Source organism: Homo sapiens, chromosome 11 (genome assembly GCF_000001405.40).
Source record: "Homo sapiens chromosome 11, GRCh38.p14 Primary Assembly".
NCBI classification, from domain to species: domain Eukaryota; kingdom Metazoa; phylum Chordata; class Mammalia; order Primates; family Hominidae; genus Homo; species Homo sapiens.
Genome location: NC_000011.10, coordinates 58,492,712 through 58,514,902, shown reverse-complemented (window position 1 = coordinate 58,514,902; position 22,191 = coordinate 58,492,712). Strand labels below are relative to the sequence as shown.

General features: G+C 38.4%; 1 protein-coding gene and 1 long non-coding RNA gene across 5 annotated transcripts; both read left to right on the top strand.

The window, feature by feature from the left end:
* The first annotated feature begins 177 nt into the window (after positions 1 to 177).
* LOC105369313 (uncharacterized) lies at positions 178 to 20,967 on the top strand. Of its 4 annotated transcripts, XR_007062673.1 has the most exons (5): positions 178 to 352; positions 3,048 to 3,110; positions 9,361 to 9,434; positions 16,513 to 16,730; positions 16,899 to 20,967. It is a non-coding gene; the product is annotated as an uncharacterized LOC105369313 (long non-coding RNA). The 4 variants fall into 4 exon arrangements; XR_007062675.1 differs by lacking the exons at positions 178 to 352; positions 3,048 to 3,110; positions 9,361 to 9,434 and adding exons at positions 11,220 to 12,006; positions 12,226 to 12,343; XR_007062676.1 differs by lacking the exons at positions 178 to 352; positions 3,048 to 3,110; positions 9,361 to 9,434 and adding an exon at positions 11,220 to 12,006.
* Positions 6,798 to 8,096, top strand: OR5B21 (olfactory receptor family 5 subfamily B member 21). The gene has a single exon (NM_001005218.3). It carries the CDS (start codon positions 6,798 to 6,800, stop codon positions 7,725 to 7,727), a length of 930 nt encoding a protein of 309 aa, NP_001005218.1. The 3' UTR covers positions 7,728 to 8,096.
* Positions 20,968 to 22,191: the final 1,224 nt, after the last annotated feature.

The following is a 22,191-nucleotide window of genomic DNA, read 5'->3' as shown; positions in this document are numbered from 1 at the left end:
ACCCCATCTCTACTAAAAATACAAAAACTAGCCAGGCCTGGTGGCGTTTGCCGGTAATCCCAGCTACTCAGGGGGCTGAAGTATGAGAATATCTTGAACCTGGGAGGTGGAGGTTGCAGTGAGTCAAGATTGCGCCACTGCACTACAGTCTGGGCAACAGAGAGAGACTCCATCTCAAAAAAAAAAAAAAGAAAAGAAAGTCAGTCAATCGATGCAGCAATCTTCACTGTTGGTTTATTTTAGGAGATTGCCACAACCACCTCAACCTTCAGCAAGCATCATCCTGATCAGTCAGCAGCCATCAAGGCCCCTCACCGGCAAAAGAAAAAATTACAACTCACTGAAGGCTCAGGTGATCATCATCATTTTTTAGCAATAAAGTATTTTAAATTATGTACATTTTTTGGACATAATGCTAGTAGACCCAGTATAGTGTAAACATAACTTTTATATGCACTAGGAAGCAAAAAAAAAATTGTGTGACTTGCTCTATCGTGATATTCATTTTATTGGAGTAGTCTGAAACCAAACCCCCAGTATCTCCAAAGTTTATTTGTACTTTATGTTGATTAACTTTAATTCTCAACAGTCCCATAATGAGAAATAGAGGAATGGAGAGACTAAGTGACTTGCAAGAGTCCCTCCAGGAACTAGAAGGGAGAGCTGGGATTTGAACCCATGCATTTGGCTCCAGGACTGTAAGTCTCACCTGTAGGCTGCGGTGCCTGGTGTACCATAACACGTAGGAGATCTCCAGGGTCCTAAGAGGTGCTACCATTCTATGTGGCCATGAAATTAACCTTTTAGGCAGATGGGTAGTTTCTTGATTCTTCCTGTAATTCCAAAGCATTTTTCCTGTATGAACTCACTTGTCATTGCGGCAAGAAAGACAAGTCTTCATTTTGCCAGCCCCACCGCTGGGAACGGCTCCTTAGGTGAAAAGCTTGGGATAGCCTCAAGATGGCAGCATTAACTCAAATATGGATGGACAGATCCTGGTATCTGGCCTTGAAGTAATCCAAAAGTCAGAATTGGCCCTTTTCTGCCTTTTAGTTTTTTTAAAACCCCAAGCTGTAACTGTTTGGAGGTGAAGAGTCAACCTGATCTTGTGAGGAGACCAAACAGTGAAGACACTGGAGGCATCAAAGTGGAAAAGCAGAAGTATTTCCCAGGAATTAAGAGTCTTTGGAGGGAAAAGAAAGAGGATATATTGGGTGCCATTAAGAAATGATGAGGTTCAAAAAGATTAATGATTCATCTATTATCCATTCATAAGTGGCTAATTCTAGGCCTCTTACTTGCCAAAACCAAGAACCACCCCACTTCACCATGTTGATAGTCTTCATTTTTATCTATTTAATTTTTTAGAATATTAAACACTGATAAAGAAGAGTACTAAATTATTTTATAAAGCCAGATATATAGGCTAGATTGTCTCAGTGGTTAGAGTCTTGATGCTACAGGTGAAGTTTTCTCTTCTTTCCTCATCTTGTTCCTCTCCCTTTCTTCCTCTTCTCTCCCCTTCCCTCCCCTCTTTCTTTTCTTTCCTTTCTCTCTTTATCTGTCTTATCCCGTTTTTCCCTCTTTCTTTCTCTAGTTTTTTCCTTGGTTGTTTTATTGGTCAAATAAATAATAAGGAAGAAACCTAAGTCTTCAGAGTTGGACATGTGGGTCAGGTGATTAGATGCTACAAAATTCCAAGAGTATGCAAAAATATCCTTGGACTTCTATCACCTAGCTTGCCACTTGCTTGGCCACTTTGTATGTCTTCTTTTGTTAAAAATAATTATTCTAACAGGGGGCTTTGTCTTGGAAATGTTTTCATGAGAGCAAAGAAAAAGTGAGTAAATAAGCTCTACTTTTGTAACTGACTGTAGTGGAACATGCATTTGTGAGAATCTAAGAGAAATATTGTTTTGTAGATTCTGAGAGCACCTCTGCTTTTCCACATTTATTCCCAAGAGAAGCAGTAGAGCACAGAGTATAAATATATAGAATTTGGGTCAGACAGGCTTGAGCATTTCCTCACTTTCTGGAATTGCAAGATGCTCCAGGCTTCTCTGGTATATTCCCTGCTCCAGTGCTAGAACCAGCCATTTCTCGAAGGAGCCCTGGTTTCTTTTATTAGAGAATAATATTAGAAAAAGATCTAAGTGCTAGGTATGTACAGAAGTTTTCACATCTGTAAAATTGAAAAAAATATATATTTCTCATAGAGTTATATGAACATTAAGTGAAATAACACATACAAATATATACTGAATGAAGGGCTTGAAACATAGGAAGCTATATTATATATTATATAAATATATATTATATACATATAAATGTATCAAGAGCTGAAATAAAGAAATCCTTTGCTTCTTGTAGGCTCCATGTTAAAATTCATTTAAAACCAAGTTGACTGGGAAAAAAGTTCATGGAAGTGTTTTGATTCACAGAGCTCTTTGAAACTCTGAGTTCTGTAGACAGAGCTGGGTTTGGGAAAATGGAGATTCTGATGCAATTTATCATTTATAATCTGACATTTTGAAAATTTCTCCCCATTTAGTCTTAGATAAAGAGCCAACTCCCAATACTCACAGGAAATCTGTGGGCTGATTGTGCAGTGGCTGGATCCTCAAGCTCCTTTGAAAGCATTTTTTGATAGAATTTGCTCATCAATAATCTTAGCCTGTGACTAGGAGAACCAGGACTCCCCTGTGGCCCCTAAGGGATCTTTGAGGCACCTCCATATCATAATAATGTTTCAGTTCCCTCAGGAAAGTGGTGTTTTGATTGCTTGTTTGTATGTTGCTGAGCCCTGGATTGGAATTGAGACCTTAGGGAACCCCCCTTCAGAGGCTCCCAAATCTACATAGACACTAGCTTCTAGCTGATATCAGCCTTTTCACACAGTTTGATATGGCTCACTTACAGTCTCAAGCAAACTGCAGCGGCAGCTGAACTGTCTTTACACTTTTATCACATAGCCTCAGGAAATCTCTTACTATTTGAAATCCAAGGTCCTTAGAGACCAACAGCTCTTCTTTTCTTTTCTTTTTCAGACTTCAAAAAGTCCAGTGTTGAAGCAGTTCTGAATTGAGATCTCATAATTCCCAAGGACATAGGTATGATTTCCCTGATCTTTTTAAAAAGCAGTATTCTTCGCACTGTAGGTAGAAATAATGGGTTCGTCTAAAAGAAAGAGACTCAGAAGTAGGTATATAAAAAGACTCTTAATTCAATTTCCCCCAACCTCCTCTGCTACATTTCACAAGAATAGAGACAGAAGTTTCCCATAAGTAATTCGGAGTCACGTTTACTTAGACAGCCATTGCCATAGTCATTGCTAGATGGGGTGTTGCTACCAACTGGTGTTAATAAAACCTGGGAAATAACTTCATACGATTGGCCTACAGTTTAATAAAGAGATTGATTAATTAGCTTCTATGGAGCACCTGCTAGAGGCCCACACTGGCTGAATTTTCTTATATTTTATCTCACTTTATCTTCTGTCTATAAAGGAAAATTGACTTGCCTACAGTCCCAAAGCAAGTAAGCATTAAAGCTCTTATTCTAACTCAACTGCTGAGATTCTAATTACCTCATCCACTTAACAAATAGTTGAGTCTACCATGTGGCTGCCTTGAGTCTAAGTAGTGGATAATAAAGCGCAAAAGAGTGACAAACAATATAGGCCTTGTCTCTTCCCTTATGGAATTTATTCCATTGAGAATCTTCTTTAGAACTCCCCAAATGGGGGTGTGATGATTGGGGGTGATGCTTCAAACCCCTTTAGAAGCAATTTTGATGGAACTTTTTATTTCCAAACTATCTTAATGGCTTAGACTTCTCCTTCTCTCTTTATAACAATAATAATTCCTTAAATTTTAATGCTTTTTCAGGTTTTGACTTAATATTTTAACCTTAGATATTTCAGTATTCAACCGTAGATATTTTAAAAATATTTTTTCTCTTTCAAGACTCCTTCCGATATTTATTTTAGGTCCATGCAGAAAAGCCTGGGTTTTACAGGACTTGAGTGGGAGGAGATACAGCAGCAGCAGCAGGATTTGGATTCAGGCCTTGCAGCCTCCCAGGCTTGGTGCTGGGTAAATGAGGCCTTTTCTCTCTGCACTGACTCCAGATTTCTCCTTGCTGCTCTGGATCTCAACACATTTATTAACAGAGACTGCAATGCATAAACGGAAGGGTTGCCCATTAACGGAACACAGAAAGTACCTTGAATATTAATTGCCGGTAGAGGAACATGGCAGTCAGGGACAGTTCAATATGGCGGGGGCGGGGGGGTGGGTGTAATGGCTTTTAAAAACTGAACGTACAGCTTAAGTGAATAGACTCCTGTGGTCAATATTAACCAAGGAGATTGATCTAATAAGCATTTCAGAAGGTATTTTGGAAAATAATTCAGAATCCACCCTAAGTCAGCTGCATTTTATTCTTGGAATTTTTCCAGGTTTTCATCCTACCTTGTGTCTAGGAAAAGGTTGGTTTACAATATGGGAGGACTGGTATCTCTTTGGTCAAAGGACCACGTACTTAGCAAGCAGTTATCCCTTCCTGGGATCCCTCTACCAATAAGCAGCAATATTTGGCCAGAGTTCTAGACTTTAAACCAGTCACTTCACCTCACTGAGCCTCGGTTTCTTCATGTCTATATCTGCTATCTCTCTCTCTCTCTATCTAGTCATGCAATAATTAAATTAAGAAGTGAATGCAAAAAGAGTTTTATAAACTTTAGAACCACTGTTTTTTAAAAGCTCTAGAACAGTGGTTCTCAATCAGGGGAATGTTACCCTTCAGGGGACATTTGGCCACGTCTGGAGACATTTTTGACTGTTACAAATGGGAGGTGGTGGTGTTACTGGAATCTAGTGATTAGAGAGAGGCCAGGGAAACTGCTGAATATCTTACAATGCACAGGACAGCACTCCCTCTCCCCCACCACACCCTGCACCAAAGAACTGTCCAGCTCATAATGTCAGTAGTGCTGAGGCTGAAAAACCAGGCTCTGGAATTGTACAGATTTTACAGTTAAGCAGTTATGTGACCTTGAGGGGCACCACATCCTTCTGTTTCCAAATATGTAAGATCAGAACACTGCCTGTCATAGATTACAGGATATTGTGTTTGCTAAATTTGAGAGTATACACACATGTCAAAAGTCAAAAGAAAAACAAGTTAAAAAAGGCTGGATAAATATAATAGAAAGTGATGCTGGTCAGAAAGTCAATTAGTACATTACTGGATAGTAATGTACCAAGCTGACTGAGCCAGTTCTTATGAAACTAGCCACATCGTGTGTGTGTGATGGTCATCCAAAAAGGACAAGCTACACTATCCCCTTCTTTTTGTGTCACCAATCAAATTGCTGCTGTTACTCTTCAAGGTAAGCTAAAGTCCAGCAGAGCTGAAGCATTTTTCTCCTTTAATTCCTGTTTTCTCCTTTTTCCTCCTCTCTTCTCACATTTTCTCCCTCACTTCTTCTGAGTCTGCTCCCACTCACTCTGCTACTAGGAGTGGGGAAAGCCTGTGAACACCTCAGGTTGAGGAACAAAAATAGGAGAGAAAGAATGCTCTAAAATGAGGACAGAAACCTGTCTCCAGGCCTGACCATCTGCAAACTCACTGTTACTCCTGAATATTTTTCATATGACAAGTCTAAGCTAATATTTTGGCCCAAAGCACAAACCTGGTAGACAAGAGGATGATAGGATGTTTGTTGTGGGATTAAAGAGCATGAAAAATATTTCCATACTTTCCTATTGATGTTCTGTTTGATTCACCAAATATTTACATACATGTGTGAGGGGCCATGGTAAGGAGAGTGGACCAGAGGGGATGAAGATAGTTACTGTCCCAAGGGGCTTAGAGCTAGGTGAAGAGTGAGTGGTTGCCCAGCTAATTGTGCAATAATCAGCCAAGACTCAAGTGCTTTGAGGAGGGAGAGAAAGGAGGACTTAACTGGAATTAGGGTCTACAGCAAAGACTTCTGATAAGGGGTGAAAAAAGACATATGCATATACACAGATACACAAAGCCATTTGTATATATCAAATTTATAGTTTTATATTAAATATATATAAATACATACTCATATTTACATATACCATACTCCCTTTCAGTTGAACTACTGTTGAGGGATTAATTTATAAAGGCTTCAAAAGTTGTGGTTAAGATCTTTGGATTTAGTATCAAACAGACCTTGAGGGCACCACCTTGTCCTGCCAACACCTTGATTTTGGCCCAGTGAAACTGATTTGAGGCTTCTGGCCTCCAGAATTTTGAGAGAATAAACTTGTGTTGTTTTAAGGAAAAATAAATTTAGAAAATCTTTAGTGAGGCTATATTATTGGAAGTAGAATGTGGAAGACAATAAGTGATGGATGTTTTTATTTTTAATAATTAAATACATACAATCTTATATCCACATCATAATTTGTATTTATATGATGTAAATGTGTTAAAGAATTCAAGATGAATGTATGAACTTTAGATTCAGAAATATAAAGGGGTGAACTTTGATTCTGACCCCTAGATAGGCTATCTTGCTCAATATTCAGCTCCCTGAGCCTTAACTTCCTTATCTGTAAGATGGGCATAATAGCACCTATCTCATATGAATTAAAAGCTATAATATAACAGAGGGTTCTAGGATGAGTGTTACACACAGTACATTCTCTCTATACATTAGTTTTCTCCTTTTTTATCATTCCATCCTCCCTTCTCATACTTTCATTGGAATTTTGTTGACGCCTCTTCTTTAATCACCAGGCTAATTCAAGCTGGCCACAATGGAGAATAGCACAGAAGTGACAGAGTTTATCCTCTTGGGATTAACAGATGACCCCAATCTTCAGATACCCCTCCTCCTGGCATTTTTATTCATCTACCTCATCACCCTGCTTGGGAATGGGGGAATGATGGTGATCATCCACTCAGACTCCCATCTCCACACTCCAATGTACTTTTTCCTCAGTAACCTCTCCCTTGTAGACTTGGGTTACTCATCAGCTGTAGCCCCCAAAACGGTGGCTGCATTGCGGTCAGGGGACAAGGCCATCTCCTACGATGGATGTGCAGCTCAGTTCTTCTTCTTTGTGGGGTTTGCCACTGTTGAGTGCTACCTCCTGGCCTCCATGGCCTATGATCGCCATGCAGCGGTATGTAGGCCTCTTCATTACACCACCACCATGACAGCAGGTGTGTGTGCCCTCCTTGCTACTGGTTCCTATGTCTCTGGCTTCCTCAATGCCTCTATCCATGCAGCAGGCACCTTCAGACTCTCCTTCTGTGGTTCTAATGAGATTAATCATTTCTTCTGTGACATTCCCCCACTCCTGGCTCTCTCATGCTCTGACACACGCATCAGCAAGTTGGTGGTCTTTGTGGCAGGCTTCAACGTCTTTTTCACCCTCCTGGTCATCCTTATTTCTTACTTCTTCATATGCATCACCATTCAGAGGATGCATTCTGCTGAAGGGCAGAAGAAAGTCTTCTCCACCTGTGCTTCCCATCTCACTGCTTTGTCCATCTTCTATGGCACAATCATCTTCATGTACTTACAGCCCAACTCCAGCCAGTCCGTGGACACAGACAAAATAGCCTCTGTGTTTTACACAGTGGTGATTCCCATGCTGAATCCCTTGATATACAGCCTTAGGAACAAAGAAGTGAAAAGTGCTCTCTGGAAAATACTCAACAAACTTTACCCCCAATATTAAATGTGAATGGGAAGTAGGCAAGCAATTAAGGGATAAACTTTCTCTCACACCTAAATGCCATCATGACTTTTAACGTTTGACTGGTTTCAGTTCTTTCTTCCCCAAGAACAGCGGTTACTTCTGCTATTAGAAGATGTAAAAAGCAGCACGTTGAAAGTCTTACTTAGAAAGATAATCTTATATTTAGTGAACAACAACATGGGACAGTTAAGCTTTTCTTGCTTTAGTTTCTTGACGTGGTTTAAAGCAGAAGATTGAAGCATACAAATGAATGTACCAAATTTTCCTCATCCTGTTTTTAATTGTAAGAATTTTTCATTCACTATTAAACTTGGTGTAAAGATTTCACCTTCATTTTTATCAACTGAACACACAGTATCTTTTTTATTCTTTTGTTCTGCGAGTTTGAAAGTTGGACTTTCTGAGGTAGACAAAGGATGTTTCAATATTTTAAATGATATTTGAGAGAAAGTTGTAATTTAAAGGACAAGGCACTAGATCGAGTCAGGTAGCTGACGATTAAATCTTTCCAACCCCTTACTCTCCCTTCTCTACCCACATTCCTATCCTACTCACTAGTCATGTGCCTTTGTAATTTCCATTCCCTTTTGCTAAATCATTGGGGAAACATTACACCTTGTTATATACAGAAATATGGGAATGCTTTAATAGATGAATTACTTCAACTTTAACCTGACTAAATACAACTTCCTTCGGAGAGCCTACACTATCTTTTATGTTTCTTGTCTCTGTCTAACATAATTACCAAAACTTCCAGAAGGTTTAGAGAAAAAAAGCAGTTTTCCCTAGAGCTATGAAAAAATATATTTGTTTTCTGAATTAAATGCTTGCATTTCTTAGCACCCTTAAGTTTGGTGAATCTATTATGAAGATATATAATAGCTTTCTGGACTGTCTTTGCTTTTACTTTTTCAATAATTCAGCTCACCTCTGGGTCTCCATTGCATTCCGGTGTTCTGTAATTAGATGCTACAAGAATAAAAAAGCCTGCCTGGAAATTTACTTCTTAGGAACAGCACGGTGACGCACAGTGCTAGTACACCTTCAGGTCTTGTTTCATGTGCTAGATGGTGTGAGCAAATGTGTGTGTGTGGGAAGGGAGTGGTGATTAATTTCACTTCTCACGTATCAACTCCTTGATGGTGTTTATAACTACAGTTAATCTAAGTCACCACAATAGATCATGATTTCAAAATCTCCCCAAAAAACCCAACAAATTAATTTTGACCTTATAGATGAAAACCAGAAATCTTGGTTGGCTAACTCAGTTGGCTTAAAATGTCAATTTAGTTTTCAGATTATCAAGCTCCATTATGTACAGGGCAGCCTCTGTCTGAGGAGGATAAATCATAAGTCTTCTGGGAAAAATTGCAAAGAAGGAGTTATGGAACATGAGAAACATGAGAATAGCTTTCTCTGGCACATGGTTGCCATCACCTGAAAAGATCAGGAGCTTCTGAGCCCAAGGCCTAGACAACCTATACCTCCCCCATTCAGCCCCCTCCCTCCCCTCTTCTTTAGCAATGAGGCCTATTCAGCAACACACAGGAAGAACAGCCTTTACAGGCCAGGATCCACTGCATATAGGAATCTTTCTCATTGAAATCTACAGAGCTCAAGAGTATCTGCATTTGGAGAAGAGCCTGGGAAGCAGCTATCCAAGCACTGGGTGCATTCCAATCTCAGGTACACATTTTCCCTACTTGATATAATTGACTTTTTTCCCTCCTCATCCTGCTCCTCCTTCTTTACTTCATTTTATCCTTCTCCTCTTTTTCTTTCCCAACTTCTTTCTATGCCCAGCCCAAGCAGGAACTTTCCTCACCACTAGGCCATTTAGATTTCTATAAAAAAATTAAAGTCTAGAGTCTATATATCATAACCATTACAGTATATATTAAGATGTGTATCTGGGCATGTTTATTTCTTTTATGGTTTTAATTTTTATTTCATTAGTTTTGGGGGTACAGGTTGTTTTTGGTTACATGGATAAGTCCTTTAGTGGTGGTTTCTGAGATTTTAATGTGCCCATCACCCGAGCAGTGTGCCCAATATATAGTCTTTTATTCCTCACCTCCCTCCCAACCTTCCCCCATCGAGACCCCAAAGTCCATTTTATCATTCTTATGGACATATTTTGTTATGCCTCTATACCTCAGTTTAGGCAGGAAAATGTGGGCCTCCTGAGATTTAAGGGCTCAATGTCTACATATTTATATTTTATGTTGAAATCACCTCAAACAAGTGTTCTATCTGACTGTAAATAGGTATAAAAGAGTACTATCAAAAGCTGGATGAAAATTCTAACTGTTCTTATCAATTGTGTGACCTCAAGAAAGTCATTTAGTCTTACTGAACCCAATATACAGGATAAAGTGTGAGGGTAATATGAAATTAAGTATGTGAATGTGCCCATCATAATGAATGTGTATTTCATACCATTGAGATTTCTATACTAGCTCTTTCTTCACTTAGCTCTCCCTGGACTTCTTATTTTGGCTCTTGAGCTGCCTGAGCAAAAATAGGAAGTCCAAGGACTGATAGGTGAAGCTCGTCCCATCCAAATCCTAGCTTTTATTTTCATTCCTTGTTTAACTTCCTGCCCTCCAAGTTCCCAGCTCTACAGCAGACATATTTCAAGCTGACATTACACGGGTATTCATTTATAGAAACTACTCAGAAGGAGATGTCCTGTCGCCAGCAAGACATCAATTCACAGAGTATACGTTACTGCAAGGAGCTCTTCCCTTCCACATAGGAAATCTGTCAAATGGAGACTAAATGCCCATTTGGTTAATAACAACACCCACTTGCTCCCTGCAGGAATTGTCTGATGAATGAGAGACCTTGTGCGTAGGGCCTGCCGCTCAATGCAGTGCAATAAAGGCACAGGGACTTCCTACCTGAAATGTTCAAAAAAGAATGTGAAAATTCATAAATCAGGGCAGTTATTTATATCAGGATAGATTATTCTTTCAAAAATGGATTATGATTGAATTATTCTAAATAGGATGTTCCCTTTGTGCATTAAAGCATTTGTTGAGGTTTATGTATTGGGAGTGGAAAATTAAAATATTAAATTCCTTGGCAATTGAAGCTGGAATTGCGGAGTCATAGACTCTTTAGCCAAAAGCTGAAAGAATTTAAAACTAATCTAAACCAATCCTCTCATTTCACAATTAAAAACCCCGATTTTTACAGTTTAACTTGCTTAAACTCACAAAGAACCAAATCTTGTTTGACCCTTTTTTATATTTTATAAAGTACTTGTGGTATAAAAAGAAATTTTATACTTTTACCTTCATTTATTCACCATGATATAGTTATTTGTGCTTCAGTTTTGCAGTGGAGGAAACCAAAGCTTTGAGAAGTTAACTTACCTGTCTACTGTTAAAAAGAGGAACCGAGGTGTGAAACTGAGTTTTTGCCTTCCCTGACCAAGACTCTGAAAAAATAAGTCACCAAGTACGTTAGTAAATTTCAATGGAGGTCTTACTTAATGTGTAACTCACTTACACTCTTCCATAATGAGTCCTTGCCATGTGGAAGGCACTCTGAAGAATACAAATAAGACTGTAAGATGTAATTCCTACTTCCACAAAGTAAAGCCCCCTGCATATATGTTTACTGATGTAATGCACCTTAAGGTTAATGACTCAATGTTCAGTAACTACCAGCAGGAATTTTCCCAGTATTCCACAGAGCATGAATGGATCAGGGCATATTTGTTTTCAGTCTTGATAGAGTTGGCTCTTTGAGTGCCGCAGCCGACAGTGATAGCCCAGCCTCAGCCAATGTTAACTAGACACAAGCTGCAGAAAAGGCATGGTGTGAAGTTGATGAAGAAACCAGTTGATATTCAATATTGTTCCTGCTTCAGGAGCAACTTACAAATAACGTGGTGGAACAGAGGACATACGTCTAGGTAGATGATAGTTCAAAGACATTTGTGGCCATTATCAAATGAATAGTCTAGAAAATAATAATTAGAACTCATCAGGGACAAGAAAGAATCCTATGGGCAGGGGAAGATCCTCAGAGGATGTGGGATGTGAGCCAAGCTCTGAAGGAATAATGTAGATGGAACCCAGAATTCCAAGATTCCAACCTTACTTTCTAGTCAAAACTCTACCAATTGCCAGTGGTGAAGCTGGTATAAGCCACGTATCTCTGAGCCAATTTTCTTATCATCAAAGTGAAGACAATAGCACCAGCCATACCTTCCTTAGGGCGTTTTGCAGGCTAAATGAGATAGTGGGTGAGAAAGCATCTTCAGAATTGCTACCCTCTTTTGAACTATAGTGTTGCTGTTGGTAATAACATAAGCAGAGCTGAATGGGGAGTTCCTAAGCAACCATCTGAACTCGGGTATGGAGGTGGGATTGCACATGGCATGTTGGCAGGAGCTTGTAGGAAAGTTGGTCATTCAGATTAGAAGAGGGTCAACCACTAATGCCTCAGTCCGTTACTTTTACAGGCAATTGAAACTTGTTGTCATCAAACAAGGTGAAGAGACTGGGCCTTTGAGAATAATTGCATCTCTATAGAGAAATCATGCTTTTACAGAAAAATTTCTGTAGGATCTCACCTATCAGGTATCTAGATCCAAGCCTGAGAATTCTCCCTCCTGTTCATAACATGGAATTTCTCAGTTGTTAGCCTGTGATTATTTCACAAAATGTGTGGGGGGAGGGATAAGATATTTGTAGCATATTTAATTAGGAAAAAAAGTTATTGTATATACATATGCATATACACATGTGTGTGCATATTTATGTGTCTATATATATACACATATGTGTGTGTGTGTATTTTAAACTTTCTGGAAAACAGTAAGAAAAAGACAGATAACCCAATAGAAAATACAAAGTTTAATTGTCCAGTCTCCTTTTTCATGTTCATTTATATGGCCTATCTACAGTTTGGGGTAGTGATGAATTATGCTGATGTGAACATTTTGATCATGTATCTTGGTGCACAAATGCATTAATTTTTCTAGGCTAAATATACCTGGAAGTAGAATTGCTGAATTGTAGGGTTTATTCATTTTCAACTTTTGTAAATAATGTGATGCTATTTTCCAAAGTAGTTATGCCAATTTTTACTTCTATGAACAGTGTGTGGGAGTTCTTACTGCCAGTACTTAGTATTACTGGAGTTATAAATTTTACCAGTTTGGTTAGAGAATAGTGTCTTTTATTGTTGTCTTAATTTGTACTATCTTGATTACTGCTGAAGTTCAGCACAGTTTTGTTTTTTTTCCCCAAATTTTTCACCTATTTTTATTTGTGTAAAAATGAACCACAAATAAATACAAACAGAATAAACAGAAATGAATACATGGGGAGTTAATTTGTTCTATTCCTGAGTGATAGAAATTGATGTTTGCTTGGTAATTGTTGTTAAACTGAATCTAGAATTTTTTTTTATATTTGAAAGAGCTTTTATTTTTAAAATACACTCATAATAATAAGAATTTAGTGATAATTTTACAGTGTGCAAGCTATGAGGTCTAGTAAAAGAACACTGTGGTCTTTGAAATTGAAAAAAAAACTAGGTTTATGTGCTGCTATCATCTACTGTCTGGACCCTCTACAAGCTTCACTTTCCTAATCTATAAAAGGTAACAATAAATTCCCAGAAAGCTATTGGGAGTAATAAATTAGTTAAGGTATATAAAGCATCTAGCAAATCACATTGACTAAATAAATATCAGTTCCCTTCCCTCTTCTCCCAAGCCTCACTTATTTAAACAATATTCGCTGAGTGCCCACAGTGGACTATTTCTTTAACATAGGTGACCTATGAATCAAGCAAATATAATAAACACATACTTCAGATCCTAGGTCAAAAATATGTGCGGGCTTTGGAGTGAGGGCATACAGTGGAGTGAAATAAAGAGTTCAGAAACAACTATATATATATATAGATATGCTGAGGCTGGGCGCGGCTGCTCCTGCCTGTAATCCCAGCACTTTGGGAGGCGAGGCCAGCAGATCACCTGAGGTCAGGAGTTTGAGACCAGCCTGGCAACATGGTGAAACCCCATCTCTACTAAAAATACAAAAATTAGTGGGGCATGGTGGCAGGTGCCTGTAATCCCAGCTACTTGGGAGGCTGAGATAGGAGAATTGCTTGAACCCGGGAGGTGGAGGTTGCAGTAGCTGAGATCGCACCACTGCACTCCAGCCTGGGCGATAGAGCTAGACTCCATCTCAAAAAAAATGTGTGTGTGTGTGTGTGTGTGTGTGTACAGTGTGTGTGTGTGTGTGTGTATATATATATATATATATATATATATATATGTATGTATATAGTATGTATATATATGCTGCATCCTTGGGCCAACATTAGTGAAGTCCATATCAGTTAAAGGAATTTGTTGGATTTTGCCTGATTAAAAACAATTGTGATGACATGGTCAGAAATATCAAAGAAGTGCTAGTTTGGTGAAAAAGGTGAGAAGTTTGCCCCATAATATGTTGTATTTTAGATGCTAACATGTCTCCTCTCTGGGGATGTGCCTCAATACTTAGAAACCTGAACTGGGAGCTCAGAAGAAAGGTGAAAGTTGAGACTGGGTAGATAAGGAAAGCCAAATGAACCTACGTATTTTATGCACCTTTTTTTGAATACCAAATTTTATATATATATACACACACATATATATGTATATATAAAATTTGTATTATATATACACATACATACATTATATATACATGTATGTATAAATAAAAAATAAAATATATTTATATATGTTAGACACACACACACCAAAATATATATCACAGTAAAAATATTAAAAAAGGTAAATCAAACAAAGCTCTTATATTTTAGAAAGTGATATAACTAAATTTCTGTTATAAACTTTTCTGTATATGTTACATTTCACACTTCAAATGTTTAGAAACAGACCCAACAGAGCTCCTATATTCAATAAGTTTATTTAAAAAAAACTAAAGGGGAGATAAGACCTATACATAAGTAACTTTAATTCTGTGTAGAAAATAATAAAAACCAACAAGAGATACATATAAAATGCTATAGTAATAGTTGAAGGGTAGATTCTAGGGTGGGGAATTGAGGAAGATAACTTTGCTCTGGACAAGAAAGAGAGATACAGTAAAATAGAAATTATTCAGATATATTTCACAAATAGTGTCTGTTTGGCTGAAGTGTAATATCTGTGGAGAGAAGTAATGGAAAATAAGTTTGGAATGATACACTGGTGCCCAACAGTAGGGATATTATCTTTCAAATTGAGGTTTTCAAATTTAAGCTATAGATTCAAACTTCAATAAAGAAGTTCTGGACATCATGCACATAGACGTCGGAGATAAGGCAGAATCTCAACTGCTGTAGAAGAATATTTAAAACAGCTTTCCTTATGCACCTATGTTAAAGTAAAGCACTTGTTTGCTTCAGAGGAAATTTTCAGCATTTTATGTATGAGCACATATCCACCTAAAACATTATTTGAGCACCTGCTCTAGCAAATATTGGTATTCTGTGTATCCAGAATCCATTTTCCTGCTTAAAATATCGTGACTTTCTTGGAGAATGATCTCTTTCTTGGAGAATAGATTGGTGGGAGAAGAGTGTCTAGTTCCTGTACCCTCTCCACCCACAAGTCTATGGAAGCTGAGGCAAGGATAACCTTTCCTTCCCTGCCCCCTAAGGAAGAGAAATCTATACAGAGAGATTCATGGAGGTATATAGAGAGGCAGGCATGAGTCCTAAGCTCAGCCAACAAAAAGTTCTCACTCCCCTAAATTTGAATCTGCAAGGGATGGAAAGAAGCATCAAGGCTTGGAGCTCATTTGCTATAGCAGGGAAATGTTGGTGGGGCCATTCCAGACATGACATGGTTCTTTGCTTCCGACTTCTGTTCCTTAGCCCTCTGAAGTGCTCCTGGTTCCTGCATTTTGCCCAGTTTCCTTTTGATTCTGCAAACCTCTTGATATCCTTTCAATTACCTCTTTTGTTTCCCTTCAAGTTAGCCTGAACTGGTGTCTATAATGAAACATAACTGATACCTCTAGCTTGTGAGAGATACTCTTCCATGGACAGTAGAGTGAACAAGAGAGAAGTCACTGACCTCACAAAATTATAAATGTTAAAGAGTATGGGGAATAAAGCACCCTCAATAATAAAAGAGAGGTCCACAACATTTCAATAAAAACCAAAAAGTGTTATAAAAAATTATCAGGAAATGAATAATGCAGAGGAAACACTGCCACAAAATTTAACTTAGCAGAAAATGAAGCAACTACCAAGGCATCCATTTTTAATTATTTTTGTTCTTGCTAACAATAGTAATAAACATCTGGAATTATTGGTACATAGGATGAAAGAGATCTTAGGGCTGTTTTTGTTCCCCTGTTGCATGTTACTGACTAGGAAGTTGAGGCCTGGGGAGGAGAAGTGGTCTCTGAATTCTCACATCCAGGAAGTGACAGAGTGAGACTTTGTGCAGTATTCTAACTCTGCATACCACCTCACACACCACAGCTGCTCTGGCTGGCGGCCACAACCCCTTTTGTGTGTATGAGCACACATTTAGTTTGCTTAATGTTTTTGATAGAGTCAGAAACATTTTTCTTACAAACACGTTTGTCCTTATAAACACATTACTGATTTTCTGTTCAGATAATGGTCACTTTTTATCTGAATAATGTATGAGCCTGGCTAAAGCTGGACAACGTTGTGTCCAGGAGCCAGTATGCTGACTTTCAAGTTAATTGCAACAACCACTTCTTTTTAGGTCCCTCGTTGGCTGCTCGTCAGATTTCTCTCTTCAATTCCAAGCGCATCTTATGTAAACAATAGTGTCTATGATAGTGGATGTGATTGTGTGCTACCTGGATCTCCTAGCTGAAATCCTTCGAAGAATTTCCTTCAGTCAATGGGAGCCACCTCCCCTGAGGTTATGGCTCCAGGTGAAGATTAAACAGCTGTAGAAGTGTCATCCAAGATTGGCCAGTGAGTAGTATGAAGGCCTGCCCCTGCTTGTCCTGTTTCCTTGACACAGCTCCCAAGAGCCATCTCAGCTCCCAAGCACCCTAAAGGATTGGCTGAGGCCTTTATTGAGACTGCATTGCAGCACAATTTCTCCCTCTCTCTAATTCTGCTGCCATCTCTCCCTTACAGATGCTGTTCCTGAGAGTCCTTCCTGGAGAGCCATCTGCACACAGATCTCAGTCTCAGAGTCTATTTCCCAATGAATCTAATCTGAGAGATCTCTTCATTTGCTGTTTTTTCCCTGTATGAAATAGTTACTTTGTTTTACTTTATTTTATTAAGTTCAGTGGTACATGTGCAGGTGTGTTATATAGGTAAATTGTGTGTCATGGGGGTTTGGTGTACAAATTATTTCGTCACCCAGGTAATAAGCATAGTACCTGATAAGTAGTTTTTCAGCCCTCTTCCTCCTTCTCACCCTTCACCCTCAAGTAGGCCCTGGTGTCTTTTGTTCCATTCTTTGTGTTCAAATGTTTAGCTCTCACAAGTGAGAACATGTGATATTTGGTTTTCTGTTCCTGTGTTAGTTCACTCAGGATAATGGCCCCCAGCTCCATCCATGTTGCTGCAAAGAACATGATCTTGTTTCTTTTTATGATTGCATATTATCCCATAGGTTATATGTGTCACATTTTCTTTATCCAGTCTACTGTTGATAGGCATTTAGGTTGATTCCATGTCTTTGCTCTTGTGAATAGTGCTGCAATGAACATATGCGTATATGTGTCTTTATGACAGATCTATTTATATTCCTCCTGGCATATCCCCAGTAATAGGATTGCTGGGTCAAATAAGAATTCTGTTTTAAGTTATTTGAGAAATTGCCACACTGTTTTCCACAATTGCTGAACTAATTTATGTTCCCCCCAACAGTGTATAAGCATTCTCTTTTCTCTGCAACCTCACAAGCATCTGTTATTTTTTGACTTTTTAGTAATAGCCATTCTGACTGGTGTGAGATGGTATCTCATTGTGGTTTTGATTTTCATTTCTCTAATGATCAGTGATTTTAAGCATCTTTCATATGCTTGTTCACTGTATGTTTTCTTTTGAAAACTGTTTGTGTCTTTTGCCCACTTTTTAATGGAGGCTGTTTGTTTTTTGCTTGTTAATTTGAGTCCCTTATAGATTCTGGATATTAGACCTTTGTTGGATGCATAGTTTGCAAATATTTTCTCCCATTCTGTAAGTTGCCCTTTTTACTCTATTTGTTTCTTTTGCTGTCCTCATCCACTCTTAATTCTATGATAATTTCTGATGGCCAAATAATGTTTTACCTTCTTTAAGATTGCTATTTGTGTTGCTAAGAACATCAGAGATAAGATCCTAAATCTTTAGACTTGTTTCTTGAAGTAAGCAGAAAACAGTGGCTAGTGTGCACAAAATTCACATTTCCTAGAGATGTAAAGAGCCTTAGAAGCTGTCCCCTCCTCAAATACTTCCTGATGGTTTTGTGTGTGCTGTGAGCTCTGGTGGGCATTTTCACCTTTGTTGTTTCTCATAATTACCCTGTTAACATTTAGGTTATTATCCTAGTTTTATAGTTGATAAAACCAAGGCCCAAATATGTGAAGTGACTTATCAAGGATTAAACAGATGAAGAAGTGTCATCATTTTCTACTAAATGATAACCTGTGATTTATGAATCAGATTTCCCATTTTATAGATGGTAAAACTAAGGCTCAGATACAGATGCTAAGTGATAGAACCAGGATACCGATTCACTCTTTTGCTGGCCTACAAACCCTTTATACTCTATTCTTACCTCCCCATCATGTTCTACCTTTTTTCAGATGAGAAAACTAAGGCAAAAAAAAAAAAAGAAATCTCAAATGTTTTTTCCCATGTCATATAGATAGACTGGTGGTGTTGAGTCTAGGCTCCAGATTTTCTATCTCCCACTCCACACCACCACCTAGCTGTCCTGCTCAGCATGCTCAGAATCTGTAGGACTCCAGCTGCCTTTTCCAAACCTGGTCGGTGCAATGGCATTCTCACTTTGACTGCAAAACTCCTCACCAAATATAAAACTGAAAATGTAGGCCACCTGTCCATGTGATTGTATTTCATAACTTAGAGCTAAAAATAGCTCTCAGCTTGCTTGGCCTGTATATAACATATTAAAAGCTCAAATTCAAATTCACTCGCATCTTGGATTAATGTTAAGATTATGGCTTTCCAGACTTCTTTCTCTCACATTCTATCTCACCCAGCAGGGAATGGATTGTGCTTGTCCACATTATTTTCTATGTGAATTACTGAGCTCTTATTTTCAAAGATGAATTTCGTGACCTTATGCTCTTTGCTGTACCTGCAGAATTCATTTTGGAGGGCACAGACTCTAGAACCAGACAGCAGGGTAAGGCTGGGTATCTGTGGCCAAGGCATGAAAATTTTGCCTTGATTTCTTCATCTGTGAAATGGAGACGAAATCATACATATTTCCTGAGGCTGTTTTGAGAAGTAAACACACTAATTCATGGCTAGTGTTTAGCTAAAATCTGGACACACACACAGAGTGGACAAATATGATAATTAAAAGCAAAAATCAACAAAATAAAAAATCACCACCGCATAGCATGACCAATTTGTCCTAGTTTGCCTGGAACAATCTGTTTTCTCACTGAAAGCCCCAAATCTCAGAAAATTTCTTAATTCTGGGCAAATTGGAACGGTTGTTTACTCTATTCACCACCAATGAAACAAACAAAAGGTTCTGAGTAATTCATTTATTCAAGAAGTGTTTATTTATAACTAATAAATTCTAGACAGTGTGATGGTATTTTAAAGGTAAACATGACAAAAATGTATCCTCATGGAACACTCAAGCTAATGAGAGAGAATTATGAAAATGGGAAAATTGTATATGTGCTGTCCTGAAAACTGGCATGAAATGGACAAAGAGTGTAATTCTGAGATGCATTGTATTCAGTGGGACACAATCCAGGAATTTCATGGATTACACACTTCTGTCTAATGCTACTTTTTTTTTTCCCCAAGCAAAATGCTATGGGGAGTTAACAGGGTTACATATGAAAAAGCTTTCCATAAGCAGGTAAGTTAAACAGCTTGCTGTTACATTACTACAGTACTTCTCAGCATCTTTAATAGCCTACTGAACACTTAAATCTCAGATGGGGATGTTTTAAGTATTATTTCTGAACTTTTAGACTTTTCAACAACATAGAATTTTTTTAAAACTCATGTGATGGTACCAATATTCCGTAGGGCTTTGACAGAAGGAAAATCTAAGTGGTATTAGGCATTGAACACAGAAAGCTCAAAGTAGGAAGAAAAGTGCCAAACCCCAACTCCTCATAAATAGAGACAGAAGTCATGCTTCAGTCATCAGAGCCAGAGCTGTGGTTCTTAACCGTTTTTCTTTTGGTTCATGAGCCTTGTTTCAGAATTTAATGAGCACATGGATGCATAGAGGATAAGAAGCTTCAATCAAGAGCCTTGAAATTCACAGAGCATGCTGAAGAGATGCTAAGTCTTCTTAGGAATTGAAAAATCTTCTCTAAGTGAATTTTGATCCTTCCTATCAGCAGAGATGGAAAGAACCTGCAGACTGAAATAAATACTAACACAAGAAAGAAATTCCACGTGTGGACTAGCATGGGATAATAGTGTAGAATGCATAGAAGCAGGACTTAGATGAAATATAGTAGTCACTTTCATATATGGAGTGCTTACTATTACATGCTTTATCTTATTTAATCAAGAGATATTTATCCTGGTATTTAGGCTGTGGCTTCTGAAATCAGACTTCTTGGTTTTGAATATTGTTTTTGCCATTTACTGGTGATGCAACCTGGAAGAAATTACTAAAATACCTCTAAGTCTTGTAATTCCCATCTCTAAAGTAGCAATCATAAGACAGTAGTATCTTTTTCATCAGGCTTGTAGAGGTTTCATGACATAATTGCTGCAGGCTGATTTCTAACTCATAGTAAAGCTCAGTAAATATTACCTAATGTTTTTCATATTATTATTAGGTGGATATTATTCTTAGCATTTTCATTTCATGGAAGAGGTAACTGAGAACAGGAGTGATCTATAGCAGACTCTTCCTATCAACCCCATTTAGGGGTTCATTATTGGGGAGAAACAGGAAAGCAGTGTCATATATTTCAGCCTCATTTTTCTCTCAGAAGAAATTATATTAATAAAATAATGTTCTTGGTCTCTTTCTAAATTATTTTTCTCTGAGTCATCCTTTATGCAAGTGATATTTATAACTTTGTGAATCACACCCACACTTGTGTGGGTTCTCTCCTTGGGTCATATGTATTTTTAGTGTGTCTTTATATTTTGGGGACACGGGGAGATGTTCTTTATAACAGATATGTAACTTAAGATACTCTCTTCTGATTTAGGAGGGACCTTCATATCCCAGGACCTGCTGAAGTCATTCCGAACAGGTTTAAGTTGCCTCTGGTCTGTCCTCTGTCCCACCTACACAGCACAAGTAAAAAGGAGAGAGAGAAACCACTGAAACAAAAACATTCTGTATTTTAAAGTCAGAAGCAAAAGTCTTTATTTCCTTTTTTTTTCTTTCTTTTTTTTTTTTTTGAGACGGAGTCTTGCCTTGTCGCCCAGGCTGGAGTGCAGTGGCGCGATCTCAGCTCACTGCAAGCTCTGCCTCCCGGGTTCACGCCATTCTCCTGCCTCAGCCTCCCAAGTAGCTGGGACTACAGGCGCCCGCCACCACGCCCGGCTAATTTTTATATTTTTGTAAAGAGAGGGTTTCACCCTGTTAGCCAGGATGTTCTCGATCTCCTGACCTCGTGATCCACCCGCCTCGGCCTCCCAAAGTGCTCGGATTACAGGTGTGAGCCACCGCCCCCAGCCTCCTTTTTCTTTTTTTCTTTTTTAAAGATTTTGATAAGAACACAACATGAAATCCATCCTCTTCATAAATTTGTAACTGCACAGTACAGTATTGTTAACTATAGGTAAAATGTTGTATAGCAGATCTTGCATAACTGAATTTTTTTTTTTTTGGAGGCAGGATCTCACTCTGTCCCCCAGGCTGAAGTGCAGTGGTACTATCATAGCTCACTGTAACCTCGAACTCCTGGGCTAAAGCAATCCTTCCACCTCAGCTTCCCAAAGAGCTAGGATTTCAAGTGTGAGCCACTGCAACTGGCCTCATAATGGAAACTTTATACCCTTCGAGCAACTCAGCATTGCCCCCTCCCCCTGCCCCTAACAACCACCATTCACTGTCTGTTTCTATGAGTTTGGCTATTTTAAATACTTTATAAAAGTGGAATCAAGTAGTATTTGTCCTTCTGTGATTGGCTTGTTTCACTGAGCGTAATGTCCTCCAGGTTCATCCATGTTGTTGCATATGGCAGAGTTTTCTTCTTCTTAAAGGCAGACAGTATTCTACACAGGTTTGAGCTTCTTCTGATTT

What these genes read in the sequence shown, in the direction of transcription:
- OR5B21 (NM_001005218.3), top strand. Translation starts at nt 6,798, where the DNA reads ATGGAGAATAGCACAGAAGTGACAGAGTTTATCCTCTTGGGATTAACA.